The sequence below is a fragment of the Homo sapiens genome, chromosome 6 (genome assembly GCF_000001405.40).
Source record: "Homo sapiens chromosome 6, GRCh38.p14 Primary Assembly".
NCBI classification, from domain to species: Eukaryota; Metazoa; Chordata; class Mammalia; order Primates; family Hominidae; genus Homo; species Homo sapiens.
In genome coordinates, this window is record NC_000006.12 from 109293159 (window position 1) to 109315454 (window position 22296).

The following is a 22296-nucleotide window of genomic DNA, read 5'->3' on the forward strand; positions in this document are numbered from 1 at the left end:
TATTTAAATTAAATAAATTAATTAAATATAAATAAATAAATTAAATAAATAATTTAATCAAATTTAATTATTTAAAATTAATCATCAGGATGGTGGTTCATCTGGGGGCCACCAGGGAAGTGCACATCAGGCTTCAAGGGTGCTGGCAACATTCCTTTTCTCAGGCCAGGTGGTGTGTACCTACCTGGGCTTGTTTGAATCCTTAAACCAGACATATATGGACAATATATTTGTATATAAACCTGCAACAAAGAGATGACTAAACGAAGAGATGACTAACCTTATTAAGAAATAATATGGTATTTAGAGGAGAAGAAAGAAGGAAAAGAAGACCAGAAGCTGGAGAACCTGGCAACAAATGTGATGTCAAGGCAAGAGGAAGCAGAGCCTGGTTCTGGAGCCCAGATTCTACAGTGGGACAGATAGATGTGCATTTGAATTCTTTTTTGTTTGTTTGTTTTGTTTTGTTTTGATACAGAGTCCTGCTCTGTCACCCAGGCTGGAGTGCAGTGGTGCGATCTCCGCTCACTGCAAGCTCTGCCTTCCAGGTTCACGCCATTCTCCTGCCTCAGCCTCCTGAGTCGCTGGGACTACATGCGCCTGCCACCGAGTCCGGTTAATTTTTTGTATTTTTAGTAGAGATGGAGTTTCACCGTGTTAGCTAGGATGGTCTCGATCTCCTGACCTCGTGATCCACCCACCTCAGCCTCCCAAAGAGATATTCATTTGAATTCTAACTTTGTCTTTTCGGAGCTGGGTAGATCTCCATAACCTCTCAGGGCATCAATTTCCTCAGTTGTGAAAGAGGAACAAAAATAGATCCATCCTGAGGTTGCCAGGTGAATTAAGTGACATAATATATGTACCACCTAGTGTGGTGCTGGCCATCTAATTCATGGCCTTCCTGTCCTTTCTTACCATGCCTTTTCCCTCCCTCCATCCCCACTCCTTCCCCCACACAGCTCTGGCTAAAATCAGCCTAACTGCTCTTCTTCCTGTTGAGTTATTTATAAACTGGCCACCTGGGAGTGGCATGAAAAGGGCTGCTGCCCTGGGGCGTGGATGCTGGGCCTATGGTGACAGGCCTGTGTGACGGAGGGTGGTGATTCAACAGGGTCATTCATGATGCCTCTTGTTTAGAGGGCAATGCGTGCTATGGGTCCTTTTTTCTAACACTTGCAGAAGATTTCAGCCCCGGCCACGATGTTTGCTGTCAGCGGATGGAAAAGTCTTCCTCAATTGATGGTTCATACCCCATTCTTCTGAAGTGCTGGTTATGTTCAAAACTCTGCCAGAAAAGGTTTGTATTTTTTTGCATGTGTGCCAGAATGGAAACTGGCTGGTTTTTGTCTCACAGTTAAACGTATCAATTCCAGAGAACATCCCTTCTTTTATTCAGACATCTAACTACTGAAATCTTTTCACAGCAGCCTTTTCTGCTTTATTATAATTTGTCTTGGGCCTCACTATGCTTTGATTTCTCTTTCTCCCTGGTCACTAATGAACATTAGTTCAAGCCTCTGACATTTCTTATTAATCTTCAATTTCTTTCCAACCCTTCCAAAAAACCCCACTGGTGCTCTGAAGTTAATGAGAGGTTGAGATCACACTTGTAACTTAGGGTTACTGTTTTCTGAGGGGTGCTCTGTGTAACTCACTTACTGATTAAGGGCAATGTTGGTAACAATTTTTTTAAAAAAGAAAACACAGAAACACATAAAACATAAGTATTTGCTAAAGAAATAAAATACAATGTTGAAAATGGCATTTGGGAATATTCTGATTTTTCTTTGTAAGTGAAATCTTGTTTAGCAACCTTGGTTTCTTACCCCTACTTTCATTGAAGAAGTTTCAGACTTTTATTTTTAAAATATGGAAATACTACCTTCTGCAGTTAGATCATAATTTTTCACTTTTCCTCCACTTGGACATTGATACATAAGATCCATGGTTTGATTTTCAGTCATGTGTTGGTTTAAACAATGTTGATAAATATCTATACCTTGCTTACAGGTATTCTCTCAAGATTGTTGTCTGAATATGAGTCCCTTCTATGAATTGATTTGTGACCCTTGTAATTCATTGACGGCCATACAAACATTTTGATGTGTTCATGGCCTTCAGTGACTTTAAACAAAGAAACACATTGCTTTAACCCCCCACAGGGGTTCCCTTGTCCAAGGGCATGTAACCTTGGTTCATCAATAGGTTTATTGTTCTTTTTCTGATATTATCCTGTATATACTGTGACAATGTTTATGGAAATATTCTTGTTTAAAGATATCATCCCCATTCAGTGTTCATATATTTTTATATGCCTCTTAGAAACTTCCTAAAACGTATTTCCTTGTATTAATTTTATCCACAGGCAGCTTTTAAAGCCTTAAAGCGAACTCTACAACTGATAGCTCCTCTGCATGATATCGTGGCCTACCTTGTCAGTTTTGCTAAGCTTGGCAATTGTCCAGCATGTTTTGAATTTCCTCGAAGTCCCAACCCTTTGAGAGGTGACTGGGGAGGAACTGAGGGCATTGGTGAGTGATTAAAGGTGATTCAAATCACCTTCAATATTCACTGGAAGTTCTATGAAGCTCTTAATACTTGGAAAGACAGAACTACAATATACTCTCATAAATGACAGCAATCAGAAGGGCAAAGGAAAAGTCCAAACTGTCTTATAGACTGTCTCCACACTGCACAGCTATCTGTTTGATTCCACATTCACGGGCTATACCCCAAAGTGCACCAAGTTGGGAGTCTGGAGGCCTGGTTCTTACTCTGCCTCTGCCACTTGGTTACTGAAAGCTGGGTACTTTACTCTCTGGGTCTCTGCTTGTCCATCTATAAAATGGGGTGATAGTATCTGTCTCATAAAAATGTTCTGTGGATTGAAATTTATGTAAAAATTCTAGGATATATAAGCCCCCATTAAATATTAGTTTTCTTTCGTTCCCGTTTCCTTCCTGGCCTTCATAAACTCACATGGCAAGGTCAGAGCCAATCACTCCCTATTAAGAAGCTTGTAAACAGCCCTTGGTTAGCTATCAATGACCTAAAAGTCTTTGTGGTAAGAATGATTGAGGCTGTAGTTTTATACGCCCAGTGCTCATCAGCACAGGTTATATTATAAGATAAACACATGAGGTGAATTAAAGACACTAAAATGTTTACTAAGCTACATTTATCAGAATCAGGGAAAGTAATCTTGCCTTAATAATGTGACTACCATCCAAATAATGTCACTGGTCATGTAAATATAAATTAATAGCAAAATACTATAGTAGCCAGGGATTTTAAAGAAGAAGAGCCTACGAAATGAGGCAATATGCCTATTTAAACCTAATTGCTCTTAAAACAAATGTCAGAGAATCTGAGGATATTCCCCTGTGGCTGGTTGGTGCATAAAGGAAATACATTTGTGGGAGACCTTGGAGCTGGTGGCAGGTATATTTGCATTGTGCTAAGGAACACTGAAGGGCTCTGTAAACATTTAGATGTAGACATAGGGAAGGGCATGAGTGCTGATCTGGGAGGAGGATAATGCCTGTGTCTAGGAGTGGCAGGATGAAGGGAGAATGGTAGTGGTGCCGCCTCAGCAGAAGGCACAGAATTGTTGCAGGCTAATGAGCTCTCAGAGTGACTCACAAGTCTTCAACATAAGCATCCGATTAAAGAAGCTCCAAAGCACTCTTAGGTCCTTTCCTTTTACTAGTTTGGGGACTGTTGTAAATGGGGCTTACTCAGAAAATAAGCTAAGACACTCTTCGGAGAGCTGTTGGATGTCAGGAGGGTGTGGGGGCTGAGCTTTAGCTAACGCACAGGAAGAAGGAGTGTGGCCAAGAGAAATGTCCTGCCTGCCGTTGAGATGGGGAGGCAGGTGTTACATGGAGATGAGATAGAACCGAGAGAGCCAGAGCCATGTTTCCTGGTGAAGTCACTACTTAGGAAGTCCTACAGCAGCTGGGAGTAAAGGGCGCCCCCAGGCAAAATCTGCAGGGAGGTGATCTGGGGTGCTTCCCAGACTGGACAGGAGTGGACTTGGATCAGTGTAGAAAATAGGAGGGACAGTCCTAGCAACATAAGAAAAGGACACTGGCGAAAGCAGCAGGCAGAACTGCACGTGGCCAGTCCAGAGTAGTGAACCTACCTGTGAACGAACCATGAGTATGGCTCTGAGGAACAATGGGAAATGAGGCCAAGTTGAGGACCTAGAATTCAGGAAGAAGGGAATTGTTTTCTTGCCATTTCTGCATTGTGAACCCAGAAACCATTGAGATATGTGGGGCCCAGGCTTTCTGAAGCATGCAGAGAGGCCCACATTGTCATGTTACACATTTGTGCTCCAGGGAAAATGTACAGTTTTGCATGCTCTGCTTTGCTCAAAATAAAGAGCAAACTTAAAAAAATATATATCCCCTCCAAGATAATCTTTTTAAAAAGACTAGGCTGCTTAGTTCCTGGCCTGTTTCCCAGAGGAGGCAAGAAGAACTAAGGGAAAAGATGAAATGAGAGTCTGTTTCTTTAAGCCATCTCAGAACAATTTAGAGTTCGTTCTAAATTGTTAGTTCTAATTTTTAGTTAGTTCAAATTACTTTTGTGGATTTGTATGCTTTAAAGTATTTTTAAAACAAATCTTGAGGGAAACTCAAGATTTCAGCTTTTGGTCCTCCCCTTGACTGACGAAAACAGCTCTTAGACACTGTGGACCAGCTCTGTGGATACAGCCAATTCTCTCCTTCCCTGAAAGCCAGTAACTCCCTTTGAAGTCCACGTGAAGCAGAGGATGTAATCAGAATGTGGACGTTTACACTGTGACTTCCTTTGCAAAGGATAAGGAGGCCAATTAAAGCCCAAATACTTCACACTGAACTTAGGGTTTCAGGAACTCTCTAGACAAACGAGGAATGAAGTGTACGAGCTCTGAGTCTTCATGCAGAGACAGGGCCACTGTGACTCCTCTCTCTCTCCCTCTCTCTCTGGCTGCCTGGCTGTCTGTCTTCTCTGACTTCCCAAACAGGACCCTCTTGGGAAAGACATGAGCAAAGGCTCCTTTCCCAATGTTTCCTGGCACAGGGTTCACCCTAGCCTCACCACCATCGCTGCCTGCAACAACCCTCTGCCCTGTCCCCACCGCCAGGCTGCTTGTCCTGCCACCTCCCCTCCCACCAAGCCTCTTGACTCCACAAAGGAAGGAAAGTCAGAATGAGGATTTAAAGATCAGTAAAATAACAAAGGAAAGGCAGTCCTGCCTCCACATCTGTATTTTAATGATAATACTACATATCAACATACAACAATTTTGCTGGGAAGCGATCACCTGCCAGTAGTATATAAATGATGGAAATGACAGAAAAAAAAATCACCTGTAAGCCAGCCACTCTAACAAGTGAAATAATTTTATTTATCTTTACTCCCTTCTAGCCCATGCCCAAATATATTCCATATTTACATTTTACCCAGCTTTAACCATAAGGTATGTGTAATTTTATATTCTCCTTTTTTCATTGTCGTTGCAGAGGATTAGAAAAATTTCCCCTGGTTACTGCATAGCCTGATAGAGTATATTACTTTTAGACCGAACACACTAGGCCTTGAACAAATGAGGCTCCCTGACCACCTCTCCTCCTTCCCACCACCACAAAAGTTCTTGCACAATTCACTCTAATATGACTCTTTTTCTGGTGAACTCTTCAGTCCAATAGAACTATCAGATTTAGAGGAGTCATAAAAGAGTTTGCTGATTGGACTCTATTATTTGGGGCTGGAAACAAAAATAAAACACATTTTTTATTGTATAAAACAGCAAATGGATATGAAATCTGATCTGCTCATCTGTTCTTAAAGCCAAGAGCACATGTTATACATGTTAGCAACCGTTCTCAGCCCTGGATCTGCCTGATCAGGCTCTCATGGACAGCTTCCCCCTCCCACAACTCTCTGCTTTCTGCTTTCTTAGTCGGTAGATGCTGGAGCCCAGTACTTGGCTAGGGAGGAAAGAAGGCTGCTTGCATGTGGACCAGCTGTCAAGATAGAGCATCTCCAGAAATGCCCTGTGGGCTTCCTGTCTCACTCCTGCCTTGGACTGCACGTCGAGGCATTGTGATCAGTTTTCACAATCCTAATAACAGGGATGTCCTCTCAGGGTAGAAAACGATCACTATGTTCACAGGGATATTTCAGACCAGCTGACATTCTGGTAGCCCTGTAAGTGTGAGCCCAGCCATGTTCCCCAAGGGCTCATCACTTTCCACTGTGCTATCCTGTTCTGACTAGCTCCTTCTCTATGCCAGTAACTAGGATATACATACTTAGATGCTAGGATGGTCATCCAGACTCAGGCTGGGTTCCACATCCCAGCACTGAGTGACCCACAGGCCCCTAAGTTAGATTTTTACCCAAAATGAATACAAATCTATGTATATGTAGCCTACTCTTGCAGTAAGGGTCTAAGAAATAAGGCAAATATGGATCCCTCACATTTACTCCTAAAATGACTAGAATCTCCTAGAGGGATATGTATGCATATGTATATGCATGTGTATGTATACATATGTGTGCATATCTTTATATATACACATATGCACATGTGTTTTTTACTTGCTTTGGATGGTCTTGAGTCTTCTTTAATCCATGAGCCAGTGACAGGGAGTGCTGATTTGGATATAGCATGGCAATGAGAGATGAGTGCTGATTCATAATCTTTGATGGTTTCAAGTGCCTAACAGATATACTAAGGACTAGACTTTCCTATTCCTGTCACTTCTCCTTTTTGTTCTATTTCAAGACCATGGCCTTATAAATTTTAAAACTTTCTTTCCATGGCCTGCTCTTATTGTACTGAAAAGCCAAGCAAATTTTTATCTTCCTGAGGAAGGAAGGAGACATAAATCAGACCTTTGATTCTACAGCATAAGGCTTTGCTGGTCTTGCAAAACATATAATTAGTATACCCACAAACAAAACAAGGGAAGTCTGATTAGGTGACAAGTATGGGACAAAATGTTGGTTTACTGGTTTAGCTATAGTAGCCTATATTTCACACTGTCAGACTAAAATGTTGTCCATCTTCTAGGGTCTGAGCTTCAAGAGCTGCAGAACATGATTGACAGCCTCCAGAGCCCCCAAGACCCTATCCGGGTGGCCCAGGCACTCCTCCTCCGGAGGGAGGTTATATTTTTGCAGTTTGACGCTGCAGTAAGGCATCTCATCCGGTAAGGGCTGGAGCACTAATCCTGTTCTAGTAAATTCTGCAGCGGAGGTGTTTGCTGAGTGACCATATAGGGAGGCCACTCTTGGCAAGGTTAGATAATGAGCTTAAAATAGTCATGGGCACAAGCAGATCCAGAACGCCATGGCTACCAAACATGACCTGCCGCAAAGCCTGTCTGTGAGAATATGTTCTTGTTGGCTAATAACACTCTTGATTTTAGCAAATGTAATTTCAGAACAGTTCATATAATGATTGCTGCTTTCAGTGTACAGGGGGTTCTACTGGGAATAACATTTTTGTACTTCTAAAGATGATTAGGTTTTTTTTTTTCAACATTTGTTTACCTTTCAAAGAGACAGAATTTTTACTGCCCCTCTCAAGCTAATGGAATTGGCTACCAGCGTTAAATTTATAAATAAATCCATCTACCTCTAGCCTTGTAGGTACTATTGTGTTAAGTACTCCACATACAAAAGGAATGTTTCAATTGGTTAATTAATCATGATGCTGATGGGAAAATTAGCTTGGATTAAGTTTCATAATGTTTCCAGTATAAATAAGTTTTGTATGAGAGGGAAGGAGGGTTAGCCCTAAAGGTCTCTGCTTATTTTTTAATTGTCAAAATTAACTTTTTTGGGTTAGCTCCCGGTGTGAGTATTTAGCCACTGAGAGGGCCTCAGAGGGCTGTCTGTGCTCTTACCTGTAGGTTGCAGCTGCTTTCCACTGCACTTGTGGGCATCCATGGAGAATGACAAGGTGGGGGTTGCACTGAACTGTCTTGTTCTTTTTCTACTCTCAATCTTCTTTACTCTGACATCAGAGGACTCTTGGATTTAGAATGTAAATTCAGCAGGACAAAAATCAGGCTAATTTGTTGTCTTTATATTGACAAATAGCTTCCTGAGCTGTAGCTTAGTCAAGCAGGTAAGATGTAAAGCCTCAGACAATTATCAGGATGGCCATTTGTTAGTCCTCTGGGCTCTGAAAGCCCAAGGTCAGAATTTGCAAGGATTTTACATACTGGTGAAGAAAAGTCCTTTTTGGATTTTAGCTATGAAGGATTCTGTTTGGTACTGCTCTCCCAGGGGAACCACTCTGCTTCCAGGAAATCCCCTGGAATTGCTTTGCCAGGGCTTTCTTTGTCCTCACACTCGGTCTACAGAAATGGAGGGCATTGTGTCCTATTTCTGGTTTTATGTACTTTTCTGTGACCCTCTGGAGAGAATCACCCAGATGGTTCACCCCACTGTGTCCTCCACTGGTTACATTTCCCCAGCCTTTTTTCTTCAGAGCTGTTCAGATTGTGTGTGTTTGGAATTATACAGCTAGTAAGTGGCAGACTAGAATTAGAACCTAGGTGTGTTTGACTCCAAAACCCGAGATCTATGATGGAGACCAAGCAGCAGCATGGACAGAGAAGAGGATGCTGAAGAAAAGGCAAGAGGCAGGAGAAAAAGAGAAGCTAAAAGATAAATGTCATCCCTCTTGATTGTTTTACTTAGTGCTGAACCTGTAAACAAGGGAAGTCCTCAGAGAATGGAAAGAGATAGGAAGCTTGGGACAGTTCCCTGACCCTTCCTGGAGCTCACCAAGACTGAGCAAACCTGACTGTTTACCCCAGGAATTTTCTGCCCATGTAAGCTGAAGGCTTCTCCAGAATTTGCAAAGGAAAAACTGAACTCTTACCTGGAATAAGGGCGGCATGCTTCACAGATGAGGGTGGGGTATAGGGGGAGGAAGGATGTTGCTCAGGGGTGACAGGACAGTAGCCCTGTAAAGTCGCTGAAAATTTGGCTCCTGCTTCTCTGTGGCATAGATCATCTTGGGTACTGGCTATGTGCATGTTTCTAGGCACAAAACATTTCACTCTGCCCGTCTCAACCCCCCTCTACTAGCCAAAGGGCTGATGGAAATTGATAGCTGTCATCCGAAGGGTTGGATCACACTGACCAGGGCCCAGCATTCATCTCTGGACATGTCCACCAACCTGCAGGAGTTATTGATTAGCCAATTCAAGAAATGCCCGAGGATTGAGTTATCTTTAGTGCCAGGTGAATTAGTCATTTGCATTGAAGGTAAATGCTTGGGTGACAAAGCAGTTCTATCCAATCTCATCTATTTAAGTAAGGAGTTGGCAAACTACTGCTGGAGGTCTCTGCCGATTTTTGTATGGTCTGTGGGCTAAGGATGGCCTTCCCATCTTTAAATGGTTGAAAAAAATGTGTAAAAGAATAGTATTTTGTGACCCATGAAAATGCTATGGAGTTCATATTTTCATGTCCGTAAATGAAACATTGTTGGAACACAGTCATGCCCATTCACTTACGGATTGTCACCGCTTTCACACTACAACCACGGAGCTGAATAGTTGCCACAGAGTCCGTAGGGTCTGCAAAGATGAAAATATTTACCATCTGGTCCTTTAAGAAAAAGTTTAGGCTGGGCGCGGTGGCTCAAGCCTGTAATCCCAGCACTTTGGGAGGCCGAGGTGGGTGGATCACAAGGTCAGGAGATCAAGACCATCCTGGCTAACACAGTGAAACCCCGTCTCTACTAAAAATACAAAAAAAAAAAAAAAAAAATTAGCCGGGCATGGTGACGGGCACCTGTAGTCCCAGCTACTCGGGAGGCTGAGGCAGGAGAATGGTGTGAACCCGGGAGGCGGGTGAGCTGAGATCTCGCCACTGCACTCCAGCCTGGGCTAAAGAGCGAAACTCCATCTCAAAAAAAAAAAAGTTTAGTTTTTTATCCCCTGATTTAAAGAATACAATTCGTTTGCACTTTAGGGGTAGAAGGAAAGAAAGAAGTCCCTCAAAGTTACTCTATAGCACGGTATAAAATATATAGCATGAAACATGCCTTTAGTCTGAATGTATTGTTGATGTTCAGGGTGATTAGGGTAAAAAGGAGAAAGCTGAAGAGATATCCTGATAATATAATCCTTCCTGCAGCAAGCCTGCTTTAGGAGTACATCAAGGAATTTCTAAAGAAAACAACACGAGCCTCTCATTCCTTGAATGTTTGTTGCTTTTCTCTTCATTTTTGTTTTTGTTTTTGAGACAGAGTCTCACTCTGTCTCCCAGGCTAGAGTGCAGTGGCATGACCTCAGCTCACTGCCACCTCTGCCTCCCAGGTTTAAGTGACTCTCGTGCCTCAGCCTCCCGAGTTGCTGGGATTACAGTTGTGTGCAACCACACCCGGCTAATTTTTGTATTTTTCGTAGAGATGGGGTTTCACCATGTTGGCCAGGCTAGTCTCGAACTCCTGACCTCAAGTGATCCGAGTGCTGGGTATAGGTGTGAGCCACTGCACCCAGCCTTCTCTTCATTTTTGAATGTGTTTTTATTTTCATGCTCACTTACTCAGCTCTCTCTAAACATGCAGATATTTATGTGTGCTTTGACAGCTGGGTGTGGTGGCTCACTCCTTTCATCCCAGCACTTTGGGAGGCCTATGTGGGAGGATCCCTTGAGCCCAGGAGTTTGAGACTGTTGTGAGCTATGGTTGTGCTGCTGCACTCCAGCCTGGGCATCAGAGATCCTGTCTCTAAACACAAAAAGAAATAAAAATTAAAAATAAAGTGTGCTTTGGGTTGTCTGGGGATTCCTGGGAGACACAAAGGAGCCTGGGCCCTCACATGAGCAGTGCTGAACTCATGGCCACGGCCCTCGTTTTTGGTATCTGATAAGCAAAGAGCTTTTGCCTGTCCTCCTCCGGGCCACTTTCCAGGTTTCATTATGTTGTTACCTGGAGGAAAACTCTAGCATGTGCCCTGTGAGTTCCCTGAGGTTCAAAATAGCTTTTACTGATGGCAAGAAGATTAAACTTTCCAATGCCACATCACTGACTCACACTTGGAGTTTAAAAGTGATCCGTTTGCGATTTAAAATCAGTTAATTCAAGATTCTCCCTCTTCCCCTTTGTTTTAATCACCTCCTCTTCACTTGCTGGAGAGGGAAGGGTTCTGCCTTAGGGTCATGGGGATGGCTGAACACACAACACCTGACCCTGGACAGATGGGGTGAATGGTAATTTATTAGTCACAGACACAATCCAGAGGAAGAGGACACTGCCCCCCTACACAGGGCCACTTGGGAACAGAGTGAACAAGCAAGGGCTGTGGGAGGCAGGTTTTGTAATATCAGGAGAGTGTGATGTTCTGTGCTTCACACAGGAAGGGGTGATTGATTTGAATAATGCTGTGGTCTGGCAGGGAACTGAAACTACTACTCAGGGATAAGCAGGAATTGCACCTGGTTCCTTTGATAAGGAAGGTCGTTAAACCTGGAGACCTTATCTGTGGGAGCGGAGTGGGGAGTGGGGAACTTTGTGGCTAAGCTATTTGAGGCCTCCCGATTTTGCCAGAAGTCAAGGCAGCACAAATTTTGGACCTTAAGTTTAGGGCTCACATGACACTCTTCTTGTTCTTCCATCCTCTCAGAGGTGATCTAAGTTTGTGGCAGTGCTTTCAAATCTTCCTGGCAGTTGGGAAGACACAGCCACTTCCCTTATCTCTGCTGTGGGTGAGCTGGCCTCTTCTGGTTAGCCTGCTGTTCAGCACCCCTCTGGGTACCCACATGTGGAGGTCTTTCTCCCCACTTTGAGGGGCTGCCAGTCTTCCTGGGAGGCCACCTCACAGAGAATCCAAGCAAAAGGTACCTTCTGCTCTGGGATACCCTCCTCCAACTTATCCAGCATCTTTCCTTAGGCATCCACTAGAACTAAGCTCTAGAAATAGTCTTTCCTTGTTTAACTGTTATTTCCTTTTAGGCAAGAAAAATCATTCTAATCTATCATACATACTTCCTTCTCTCTGACTTATGGTATAAATTTCATGCTCCAGTCTTCAGGGTTTGTGGTTCTTGATATACAAAGCCATGTTTTGTTTAAAACCAAACAAGAACTTTTCTCCTCCAAACCCCAAGGAGGCTTAAAATTTAAAATTTAGTTTTTATAAAGAACTATTGTCTCAGCTGTTGGTCTTAAAATAATTCATTCAATAAACAATTGATAGCTTTTTTCTAGAGCTACAGCTTCACTATTCAGTTCAGTAGCCACATGTGGCTATTTAATTTACTTTAATTAAAATTATTATTAATTTAAATGAAAGAAAATTAAAAATTCAAGCTGGTCTGAGTGCAGTCGTGTTTACAACTAATTGATCACAACCAGTTACAGATTGCTTTATTCTTTCTCCACTCACACTGCTTCACTTGACTAGCCCTTAAAAAAAAGAAAAAGAAGAAAAAGAAAATTAAAAATTCATTCCCTCAGTCACAGTAGTCACATTTCAAGTGTACAACTGCCACACGTGGCCAGAGGCTACTCTACTGGACAGTGCAAATATAGGACATTTCCACCATTGCAGACTCTTCTGGCAGACATTGCTAGTCGAGAGTATGCCAACCCTCCCCGTGAGGGCTACGAACTGTGAAAGTCGAGGGCAAGGGGCATGGGGGTTGATGTGGCTGAAGAAGGAACCTGTTAATATATCAAAATGTTTTCTTGCTTCTCTAACTTTGAGGAAAGTTTTGAACTTTAGAAGTGTAAGTAACTGCTTTTAATGAAATGCCCCCCCATGTTTTGGTAGAAGAACATTTTTGGCAGCTGGAAATGTTCCTGCCTACCAGTCTGTCACAGACGGCATGTGCCATGGGCTACCAGCACTGAGCAACTCTCTCAGGAAGAGCATTTTTGCCTCACAGCTCAGCCTGCCCCAGCCACTGGATCCACGGAGCCTCCAGGTGTGTTTCAGATGTATTTTTATACTGTAAATGGTGTGCAGTGTGTAGGGAATCTAGTCAGTTTGTTTCCATTTAGTTTAGATTCTGCAGGGGCTTTCAAGACTTTAATGCCCTCTGTCTTCACTGGCTCTGCTTCACTTGCACAGTGGAAGAGTCTGGGCCCCAGGGCCGGCTGTGATTCCCAGTCAGGGTCTTTGTCTCCAAACACTCAACAGGCTGATCGTGGCAACAGCTTGTCTGTTCACAGTTGATAGCAAAACAAACAATCTTCTCCACTTAATAAATCGTCATGATAGCAATTGCAATACATAAATGACGTCAGTAGCTGGGTTTTCAATAGCCCTGGTTATAACACCTGTTATTGAAGGTAATCCTGGCAACTATTGTTGCTCCTAGGCAGGAACAATATTACCCACCTTCTACAACCAAAGAGTTCAAGATTCAGGAAGGCCAGAGATCAGACTATTCCAGAATCATGGCAGCACCAGGTTGCAAGCTGTATTAGTTACTTATTGCTGCACAATGATTTACCCTAAAGTTTGGCAGATTAAAACAATAGACATTCATTATCTAACATAGTTTCTGAGGATCAGGAATCTGGGAGCAGCTCAGGTGGGTAGTTCTGGCTCAGGGTCTCTCATGAGTCAAGATGTTGGCCAGGGCTGTAATCATCTCAAGGCTCAACTGGAGGACAACCTGCCTCCAAGCTCACTCCTATGGCTGCTGGTGGGCACCAGAAGATCCACTTCCAGGCTTATTCACATGGGCTTCTGCACAGAGCTTCTTTGCAACACAGCCGATGGCTTCCCCCAACACAAACAGTCCAAGAGAGAACCCAAGATGGAAGTCGCAGTGTTTTTATTACCAGATTTCAGACTCTCCATCACTTCTGTCATATTCTTTTCACTGGAAGTGAGTCACTAAGTCCAGAACACATTCAAGGGGAGGGGAAGTAAGCTCCACCTCTTTACAGGAGGAGTGTCAAAGAACTAGTGGATATCTCTTTCAAACTACCTCACAATCCCTGGTCTTTTGACTCCAAAATTTCCAGTTTAATATTCTGATTTTATAATGCTAAGCCAAGGGACACCAACATCAACCTCAAGCAAGTCCCACATTTCTACCTTCAGTGGCTGCAAGACAGTGACTTTTGGCCCAAGCCATGGCCCTCATTTAGACCCAGAAGACAGGGTCGGACCGTGACCATTGGATCTGCTCTTGCTTCCTTTGGGTGTTGCCTGGGATTAGGTGGATATAGGAGTCCCGGCTCCTTGCTGTCAGAATCAACTCCAACTCCAGGACTTGACTAAAACCAGAACCAGGTCTGGAAGTGTAGAATGGAGTCAGATAGGCAGGCCCACTGGTTCCAGGGCTGCAGATGGTGTCACAAAGGACAGAGGATGCCTTAGCTGTTGGTTAGTGATATGGAGGAGCCAGAGACTCACATGTAATAATTTGTGGTGCTGGTCTTGAGTTGTTACCGAGAATTGGAGCACAATAATGATGAAGGACAACTTTTTAAGGTTCCTGATATTGAGAGCATTTGAGTAAATTTATTTTTATTGATTTTAAATATGTCCCATTGGTGTTATACTGTTCTGGAACTTCTGAACACTGGTGCTGATTAGTTACACTGAAATCTTAAGTACTCTTCTGTGTTTCACCATCTGCTGAGAAAACAATTTAAAAAATAAATTATTGCTGTCTCTTCTATATCTCTAGGAACTATCAAGAAATACTTACACATAATAAATAAGTCATCCAAAATTGTTTTGCGGTACAGACACAGATATCCTATTCATATACAGATATCTATTAATTTTGAACACAAAGTACAACATTATCATCTTTATTATTTTGTTCTCTTAGGCATTTGAGCTGTTTCCTTGGAGAGCATTTCTGGAAGATGGAGGACCATTCCCAGTTATGAGTAACAGCCCAGATACCCTAGAATATAATATGCAGGTAGGATAGGTCTTCTCCATTGTTGCAGAGAGAACTGAGCGCAGACTGCAAAGATGGTTGCCATTGGGTTCACAGGTCAGATCCTCCTACTCTCACCCACGATGAATAATGTGTGAGATAAGCAGGGTGTTTGATTTTGAGGCTGTAAACCCAGGGTCACGAGGTGAGTCACATTTTCTTATGATAGAAGGGAAGCATGCTCTCAACTGGCATGGGCCTGGGTTGTAGACTCAGCTGCAGTTTTCGTAACAGTAGTGATCTGGGAGAATGGCCAGTCATCTCCAGTCATGGGCTGGGCCTCTTAGAGAAACTCCCAGGCTGGCAGCTCAGAGATGTGTGACTCCTGACCTGTCCATAAACAGTTGTGGGAAGGGAACTTTTTAAAGCAGGACTCGTAGGGAGAATTTCTTTTCATTGTTTTCTTTTTTGCTGTTAACTTCCTTTAAATAGTTTGATTCTTTTCATTATTAAATGTTTTCCCCTGATTATTTAAGTAAATATTGTTTTTATTTAAAAAATAGAAAGCTTAGAAAAGTATTAAGAACAACATGAAAATCAACCATAAATAACGCTTCAAAACAATATGGAGGTGGGGAGTGGGTGGGATGGGGTAGCACTGGCCACAGGTTAATGGTTGTTGGGGCTGGGTGATGGGAACTTTTCTGTTTGATTTCTATATATTCAAAATTATCCATAAGTAGAACAGGTTTTTTAAGTAAAATAGTAAAAGTGGTCTTAAAAAATTAACCATATGGCTGGGTGTGGTGGCTCATGCCTGTAATCTCAGCACTTTGGGAGGCCAAGGTGGGCAGATCTCTTGAGCTCAGGAGTTCAAGACCAGCCTGGGCAACAAGGTGAAAGCCTGTGTCTACTGAAAATGCAAAAATTAGCTGGGTGTGGTGGCACACGCCTGTAGTCCCAGCTACTCAGAAGGCTAAGGCATGAGAATCACCTGAACCCAGGAGACGGAGGTTGCAGTGAGCTGAGATCGTACCACTGCACTCCAGCCTGGTGACAGTGTAAGACTCTCTTAAAAAATAAAATAAAATAAAATAAAATAAAAAATCAACCATAGTTCCACAACTAAGAGACAATTACAGTTCACATTTTATTTCCCTGGTATTTTCCCTCTGCATATGTGTGTTTATATCTGTACTTTTAAGGGAAAATTGATATCACACTATACATTCACCATGTACAGATCTGCTGTAAGGGCTGGAAACTTGGCATTTTCATACAGAGCCAAAATTTGATGTGCTCAAAGAAAACTTTAAGTTAGAAATGTTACTCTGGTTTTTATGAATTTTCTAGCAGTTGAGGGAATGGGTTCTTGTAAATACAGTTACTCCTAGTTTTCTTCCTGAAAACCATATGTAAAATATATATATGGTCTTCAAATGGAAGGTTTTTTTGTTTTTTTTTAGCTGTGCCTCTGTGGGCTGAGTGACCGTGACCGCAAGGTGGCTCATGGAGAACTGGTGGGTGTGCAACTGCTACTGGAAGATGTTCTGAGTAGCTATCATGTGACCATGGAGGCCCCCCAAAGACAGCAAGCCACACTGGGCAAAAATACACAGGTATTCTGGGGGTATCGTTTCCATATTGATAGTACTATATTGAACTGAAGGACCTCTCTGTTGGGGAGATGGTCCGGGGAGTCATGTTTTCCCACAGCCTCTCTCAGTAGGTCCCAGGACTGTGCCAACACCACCTGGGAGCAACAGTGGAGCAGGGGTAGCCACTGCAAAGCATTTTCTAAGTTCCATGATTATGGTATATACATCTATTTTAATTTTAAAAATACGCCAAAAGTTGTGGGAGGTCTATTGAAACCAAATGAAACAAAAGCGCCAACTGGATGCTTTCTTTGTGAGTCATACATCTAGGACTGGAGTTGGAAGGGCCAGAGGGGTCTGATAGAAGCCCCAGGTGGACATCTCAGGCCTGGGCTCTTGTCCTCATCACTCAACTACTGGCCTATGGTCTCCTGGGCAGGCACTGCCTCCTCTGGGTTTATCATTCTGAAGCTCTAAGGTGCAAGGGCCACTAGCGCTCCTAGTGTCATGACTTTAAACAATTTTGCATATATCCAGGAACTAGGCAGAGACATGTTTGGATGCTAGACAAACTAGCTGGTGCCCGCACTTGAAGAGCTTTTCTGTCCGAGCCAAACTTTCTGAGCAATGCCTAAACCCATCATCTCCATTTTCTTACCTTCCTGCCACTCCTCGAAGCACTGCAGTCTGTCTTCCCAATCTTGCTACTGAAACCTCTCTCATCAAGAGATGGTCTTTGTCACTAAATCCTCTGGGTACTTTCAGTCACCTTTCTACCTAACCCCTTGGCAGCATTTGACACAGAGTCCTTCTCAAAGCCTCTCTGCCCTTGGCTTCTACAGCATGAGTCTCTCCTAGCTTTCCTCCAACATTGCTGAGCCCCTCTTCTCAGACCCTTCTGTAGGGTCCTCTACCTCTGCCAACCCTAAAATTTTTTTATAATCTATCCCACCACTGCTACCAGGGCCACATTTTGACTTCCGCAGTCCCTAACACTTTTACCTTTGTGGGCTCTTCCCTCCTCCATGAAAAACCATTAAAAATTATATTTTAACATTGTGCTAGTACAAAGAAAAATATATTAATATCATATATTAAAGCATTTTATTTAGCCTAAAAGGTCTTTTTTTCTGATTAAAAAAAAATAAAGCATTTTGTGGGCCCGAGGCACTGTGCCTCCTCTGCCCAAGCTGTTAAGTCAGCCCTGAATACTATCAATACCACTGCTATTATTGCCTAGAAGTTGAGGTCTGTTCAGATTGCTTTTTATGTATTCATTTATTTAGTCCTCACAATAATTCCATGAGATAGGTTGTTTCATTGTTCTCATTTTATAGATAAGAATACTAAGGCTTAAAAAGGTTAAGTAACATGGCCAAAGTCACATGGTTAATGAGGAAAGAAGCTCAGATTCCAACCCAACGGTCTGGCCCTAGAGCTCCCTCATCCTCTTCTCTACTAGGTTGCTCCATTCCTCACCCTCTCCCTAGGAAAACCCATCCACTTTTATAACTTTGATGACATTCACATGCAATGATCCAAATCTGTATGTCTAGCCCAAATATCAATCCTATCAGACTCACATGTTCAATTGCCTGCTGGATATCTCCACTTATTCCATCTCAGAGACAGCGTTTCTCAAGCTAAGGTCATCTTACTCCCTAAATCTTGCCCTTCCCTGTCCGTTTACCACTACCTGCCCAGTTGGCCAAGCCAAAAACTCTGGGCACCATCTTTGACTTCTGTCCCACACCCCACAACCAGTCACCAAGTTTTACTATCAATTATTTTAATATCTTTCAAGTTTGTCTTCTTTCTCTGTTCCCCCACAGTACCCACTTCTATGAGTCCAAACCATCATCATCCCTGATCACTAACTAGGCTATGATCTTGACCTCCAATTGGATTCAATACACTTATTCTCACCTCCTTCCAATCCATTCACCAGGGTAATATTTTTAAATGCAAGCCTGATTATATCACTTCCTTTACTATAACTCTTCAATGGATTCCAGATGCCCTGAGAAGAGTCCAAATGCTTTCATCAGCCCCTCGTGACTTGACTCCTGCCAATATTTCTACCCTCAATGTCTTTCGATTTGTCAAATGCACCATGCTCTCTTCTGTACTTCTCCCAAACTGGTCACTCTAGTGGAAAACTTCCCTCTCCTTCCTCTTTCTGCTTCATCACCTGATTAACTCTTACTTATCCTTCAGATTTCCACTTCCAAACCACTCTCTTTAGGAAGCTTCTTCTGATCATCCACGCTTACCCTGTTGCTTCTCTGTGCCAGTTAGAGTGCTTCTGGTGCAAGTAACAGGTTGTTCCATTAGCTATAACCTAAATTAGGGAAGCATATTAATCCTCCATAATAAGACGTCTAGAAGGAGGCAGTTCAGGTTGGTGTAGCCCCTTGACAGTGACTTCAAGGACTCAGGCTCTGCCATTTAGGTGTATTGGGAAACATCTCCCTCATGTTTGTAAGATAAAAACAGGAGCAAAAAAGCTTTCTCCTTGGAGATCTAGCTTTTTATCAAGGAGGGGAATATTTTCTAGAAGCCCCCCCATTAGATTTTCCTTGTGTCTTTTTAGCTAAACTGAGTCACAAGTCCACTTGGGGCCAATTAGTAGAAAAAGAAGTGGTTTTATATGTGCCATCTACATTCCACAGCATAATTAGATCTTCACCCAGTGTGATCATTTGCAAAGCTGGGTATAGACCAAATTGTGCCAGGATCCAAACACATGCTGGGCCCTCAGGTCCTTCTGTTTGCCATATTTTGGCCCTGTCTATGATGGATTACCATCTTTTCCTGACATTCCCCACCATCCTCCACCTTGTTATTTATTTTGGCTCCTGTTCCTTCTCTTGTCTATTAAATTAAAGCACGTTGGTAGAAAAGACTTCTCATCATATGAACATATTAACAAACAAGTTTGCTTTAAAATTATTATTTATTTTAATTAATTTTATTTCGTGTGTTTTTATTTAGGAGTATTTAGCTATTCATAGACAATAGGAAGCAGTAGAATTTATACTGCCCTGAGAGTCAGGACTCCTGAGTTCCTGCCCCAGTTATGCTATAAGTTTTTTGATCTCACTAGGCCTCAGTCTCCAAAGCTCCAAAGTAAAGGTGATGAATTGGCTCAAGGCTTTTAAAATTGTGGTCCAAGGAGCCCTGGGGTTCCTCAGAGATACCCTGGGGCTTCTTGAGCTGGGGAGCGGGGGCGGCAATTACATGGCCTCCAGGCTGTCCCCTTCATGTCACCATGCTTGGCCTTGGTCTGTTGAATATTTGGGCCAGTGTGTAAGAATTCATTTGATGAAAGAGCTCTGAGGATAAAATAAAATCTGGAAATCCATGCACTAGCTGATTGTTGGGGAGGCAGGCTACAAGACTGAGGAGTTACCAGCAGTCTACAGGAACTCGCTCTCCCCTGGTTCTTGCTTATCAATTCTTCCTTGGACAATTTGACCAATACTCTTCCTGGCAGGCAGGCTTTTCCTTAGATATGTTAATACCACTGCTCTAGGATCCAATTATACCAGGTTGTTCTCCCTGTTTCTAGCCAGGAAACGTGAGTGTCTCGGGTACTGTCACCTAAATGCTCTCTAAGCCTCTTTTTATCATAACGTCATGGGATTTGCCAACCTGGTCTGCCAAGAAGAGCTCCTTTTTCTGTGACTGAGACACTATGTACAGGCAGTGGGCCTGGACGTGATCCTCATTTTGTTCCTCACTCTGGGTGACCCTGGCCCTCAGACCGCTGGCTGCAGGACAGCAGGACAAACAAGGACCTGAATACCTTGTTTCCTCCATGTCCTCCAGGGCTCATAGCAGCCCCTCCACAATTATTTACTTAAGGAAAGCACCAATGAATAAATGAAGAAATCATAATTTTAAAGTAATCTTTCTTATTGAATGATAAATTCTAATTAAGAGAAATGTTTCCTGCCTAACTTCTAAAAGAGGAGAAGAAACAGGAGGTAGGATAAATTAACTTTCTATTTCTTTACCCATAAGATGGGTAAAATCCTGAATGGAAAGTTACTTCTTGGCCCCACCGTGATGGGAACTTTAATCTCAGGTATATTGAAGAGCACTTTCCAGAATGCAGAGGGAAAACACAAAAGGCTCAGTTTTTCAAAGGCAGATAAAACGTTAGTATGCAAGTAAGCGAGTTTTCAAAATGAATGGTTCCAGACCCAAGCAAAAAGCTGCAGTTGAGACATTCCTATCCTTTCCATAAACTGTTCATGAAGGATGGTCAACCTCTCTCAACTCTATATGTGCTGTGGGCCTGTAAACCATTCCTCCTGGGGAAAAAGTTAATTCTCCAAAGACTTTGTTTTGCACAGGCTGCATGTGAAAGGTTAGCCTGTGTTGGTCCATGATCAATAAAGAAGGATTTCCATAATGCTTTCAGCCAGATTGGTCCAAAGTGCCAGGATTCAGAAGTCAGTTCCGAAGCAGCCCAAAGACCTCTGAGCTGCTGGAGGGCCTGTGCGATGCGGTGATGTCCTTTGCTTTGCTGAGATCATTTCTGATACTGTGGAAGCAGCTGGAAGTGCTAAAGGAGCACTGGGGCCGACTCAAGCTGCAAGGCCAGGATATCAACTCTGTCTCTCTCCACAAACGGTTTTCAGAGCTCTATGAGTGAGTGTTGCTGATGCTGAAATTCATGGCCATGACTAGAACCTGGGGGATGGCAGATTCCTGCCCTTAGTCTGAGGGCGAGATTTGGTCCATGAATCCTAATATGACCCGTTAGACCCACGGACTGAGTCTCTCAGAGCTTGTGGCATTGCAGCCAGAGATATACAGATGGCACATGCGGCACAAGTCTGAGGAATGGGAGGCATTCTAGCAGCTGCAGGCCCTGGCTCGAATGACGTAGCTGGCTGGGAAGGCGTGTTGCTTCTGCCACGTGTCTGTTAACAAACGAACATTTGCTAAGCACCCCCATACACCCTGGGCCTTACCAAGCTTAAGAACGTTTGCTTTAGGCCAGGCGTGGTGGCTCACAGCTGTAATCCCAGCACTTGGGGAGGCTGAGGCGGGTGGATTACCTGAGGTCAGAAGTTTGAGACCAGCCTGGCCAACACGGTGAAACCCTGTCTCTACTAAAAATACAAAAAATTGACCAGGTGTGATGGTGGGTACCTGTAATCCCAGCTACTCGGGAGGCTGAGGCAGAAGAATGGCTTGAACCCAGGAGGCGGAGGTTGCAGTGAGCTGAGATCGCACCATTGCACTCCAGCCTGGGCAACAAGTGTGAAACTCCCTCTCAAAAAACAAAAACAAACAACAACAACAACAATAACAACAACAAAAAGTTCACTTTGGTACAGCCAGATTGTTTATCTTGTGAAATTATTATAGTCAGTGTCCCTGATAACTAGGGAAGGTGAAGACTTGTCAATATTTTGAAGAATGAGGACTGAAATTATATGCACCCAATGGGAAAAAGCCTCACGATTTCATGTGGCTAAGGAATGATAACTGTGGTGAATTAAATGTTGATGTATCTGTGAATGGGTTAGGATACTGATGATAGGAAAGAGAAAATGAATGAAAATAATTATCAGAGAATTGAAATGAGAAAAAATATGTTTGCTAATTTCTGTCTTTCTTCTTTAATAGAACTGACGTTCTCTACCCCAGCATGAAAGCTATAGCCAGGCAGATGGGGAAAGAAGATGAATTTGAAGGATTTATAGTAAATAATCAGTCTGTTCTTCCCCCCAGTGGAGCCTCAGAAGTTGAAATAAAAACTCACCAAGTATGCAGGATATATTTTAAATTTGCCTTTGAAAAT

General features: G+C 42.9%; 2 pseudogenes across 1 annotated transcript in view, besides 4 other annotated features; both read left to right on the plus strand.

Moving 5' to 3' along the window:
* Positions 1-22296, plus strand: part of CCDC162P (coiled-coil domain containing 162, pseudogene) — a 189118-nt pseudogene that overhangs the window by 127328 nt on the left and 39494 nt on the right. Inside the window, exons 27-34 of the transcript NR_152435.1 lie at positions 1183-1300; positions 2369-2534; positions 7073-7211; positions 12801-12954; positions 14824-14919; positions 16344-16496; positions 20905-21134; positions 22122-22260. The product of NR_152435.1 is annotated as a coiled-coil domain containing 162, pseudogene (transcript). The remainder of the gene's footprint in view (positions 1-1182; positions 1301-2368; positions 2535-7072; positions 7212-12800; positions 12955-14823; positions 14920-16343; positions 16497-20904; positions 21135-22121; positions 22261-22296) is intronic.
* Positions 11082-11272: a silencer, noted in NCBI's record as "fragment chr6:109625443-109625633 (GRCh37/hg19 assembly coordinates)". NCBI's record gives its function as "represses an EF-1alpha promoter that drives an FKBP-Casp9 reporter gene in an ReSE screen in phorbol 12-myristate 13-acetate-treated (for megakaryocytic differentiation) K562 erythroleukemia cells {active_cell/tissue: K562(+PMA)}" and the evidence as "EXISTENCE:reporter gene assay evidence [ECO:0000049][PMID:32094911]".
* Positions 11422-11566: an enhancer, noted in NCBI's record as "oligo 6:109625879:G:A used in the MPRA construct". NCBI's record gives its function as "activates a minimal TATA promoter by MPRA in K562 erythroleukemia cells, with higher activity for rs1546723 A versus G constructs {active_cell/tissue: K562}" and the evidence as "EXISTENCE:reporter gene assay evidence [ECO:0000049][PMID:27259154]".
* Positions 11502-11525: a transcriptional cis regulatory region, noted in NCBI's record as "range of bases deleted by CRISPR/Cas-9 editing among clones D6 and D7". NCBI's record gives its function as "positively regulates CD164, FIG4 and FOXO3 gene expression in K562 erythroleukemia cells {active_cell/tissue: K562}" and the evidence as "EXISTENCE:mutant phenotype evidence [ECO:0000015][PMID:27259154]".
* Position 11518: a transcriptional cis regulatory region, noted in NCBI's record as "MPRA functional variant 6:109625879:G:A corresponding to rs1546723". NCBI's record gives its function as "higher enhancer activity for the A versus G allele by MPRA in K562 erythroleukemia cells {active_cell/tissue: K562}" and the evidence as "EXISTENCE:reporter gene assay evidence [ECO:0000049][PMID:27259154]".
* On the plus strand, positions 12337-12436 carry RNY3P11 (RNY3 pseudogene 11; annotated as a pseudogene).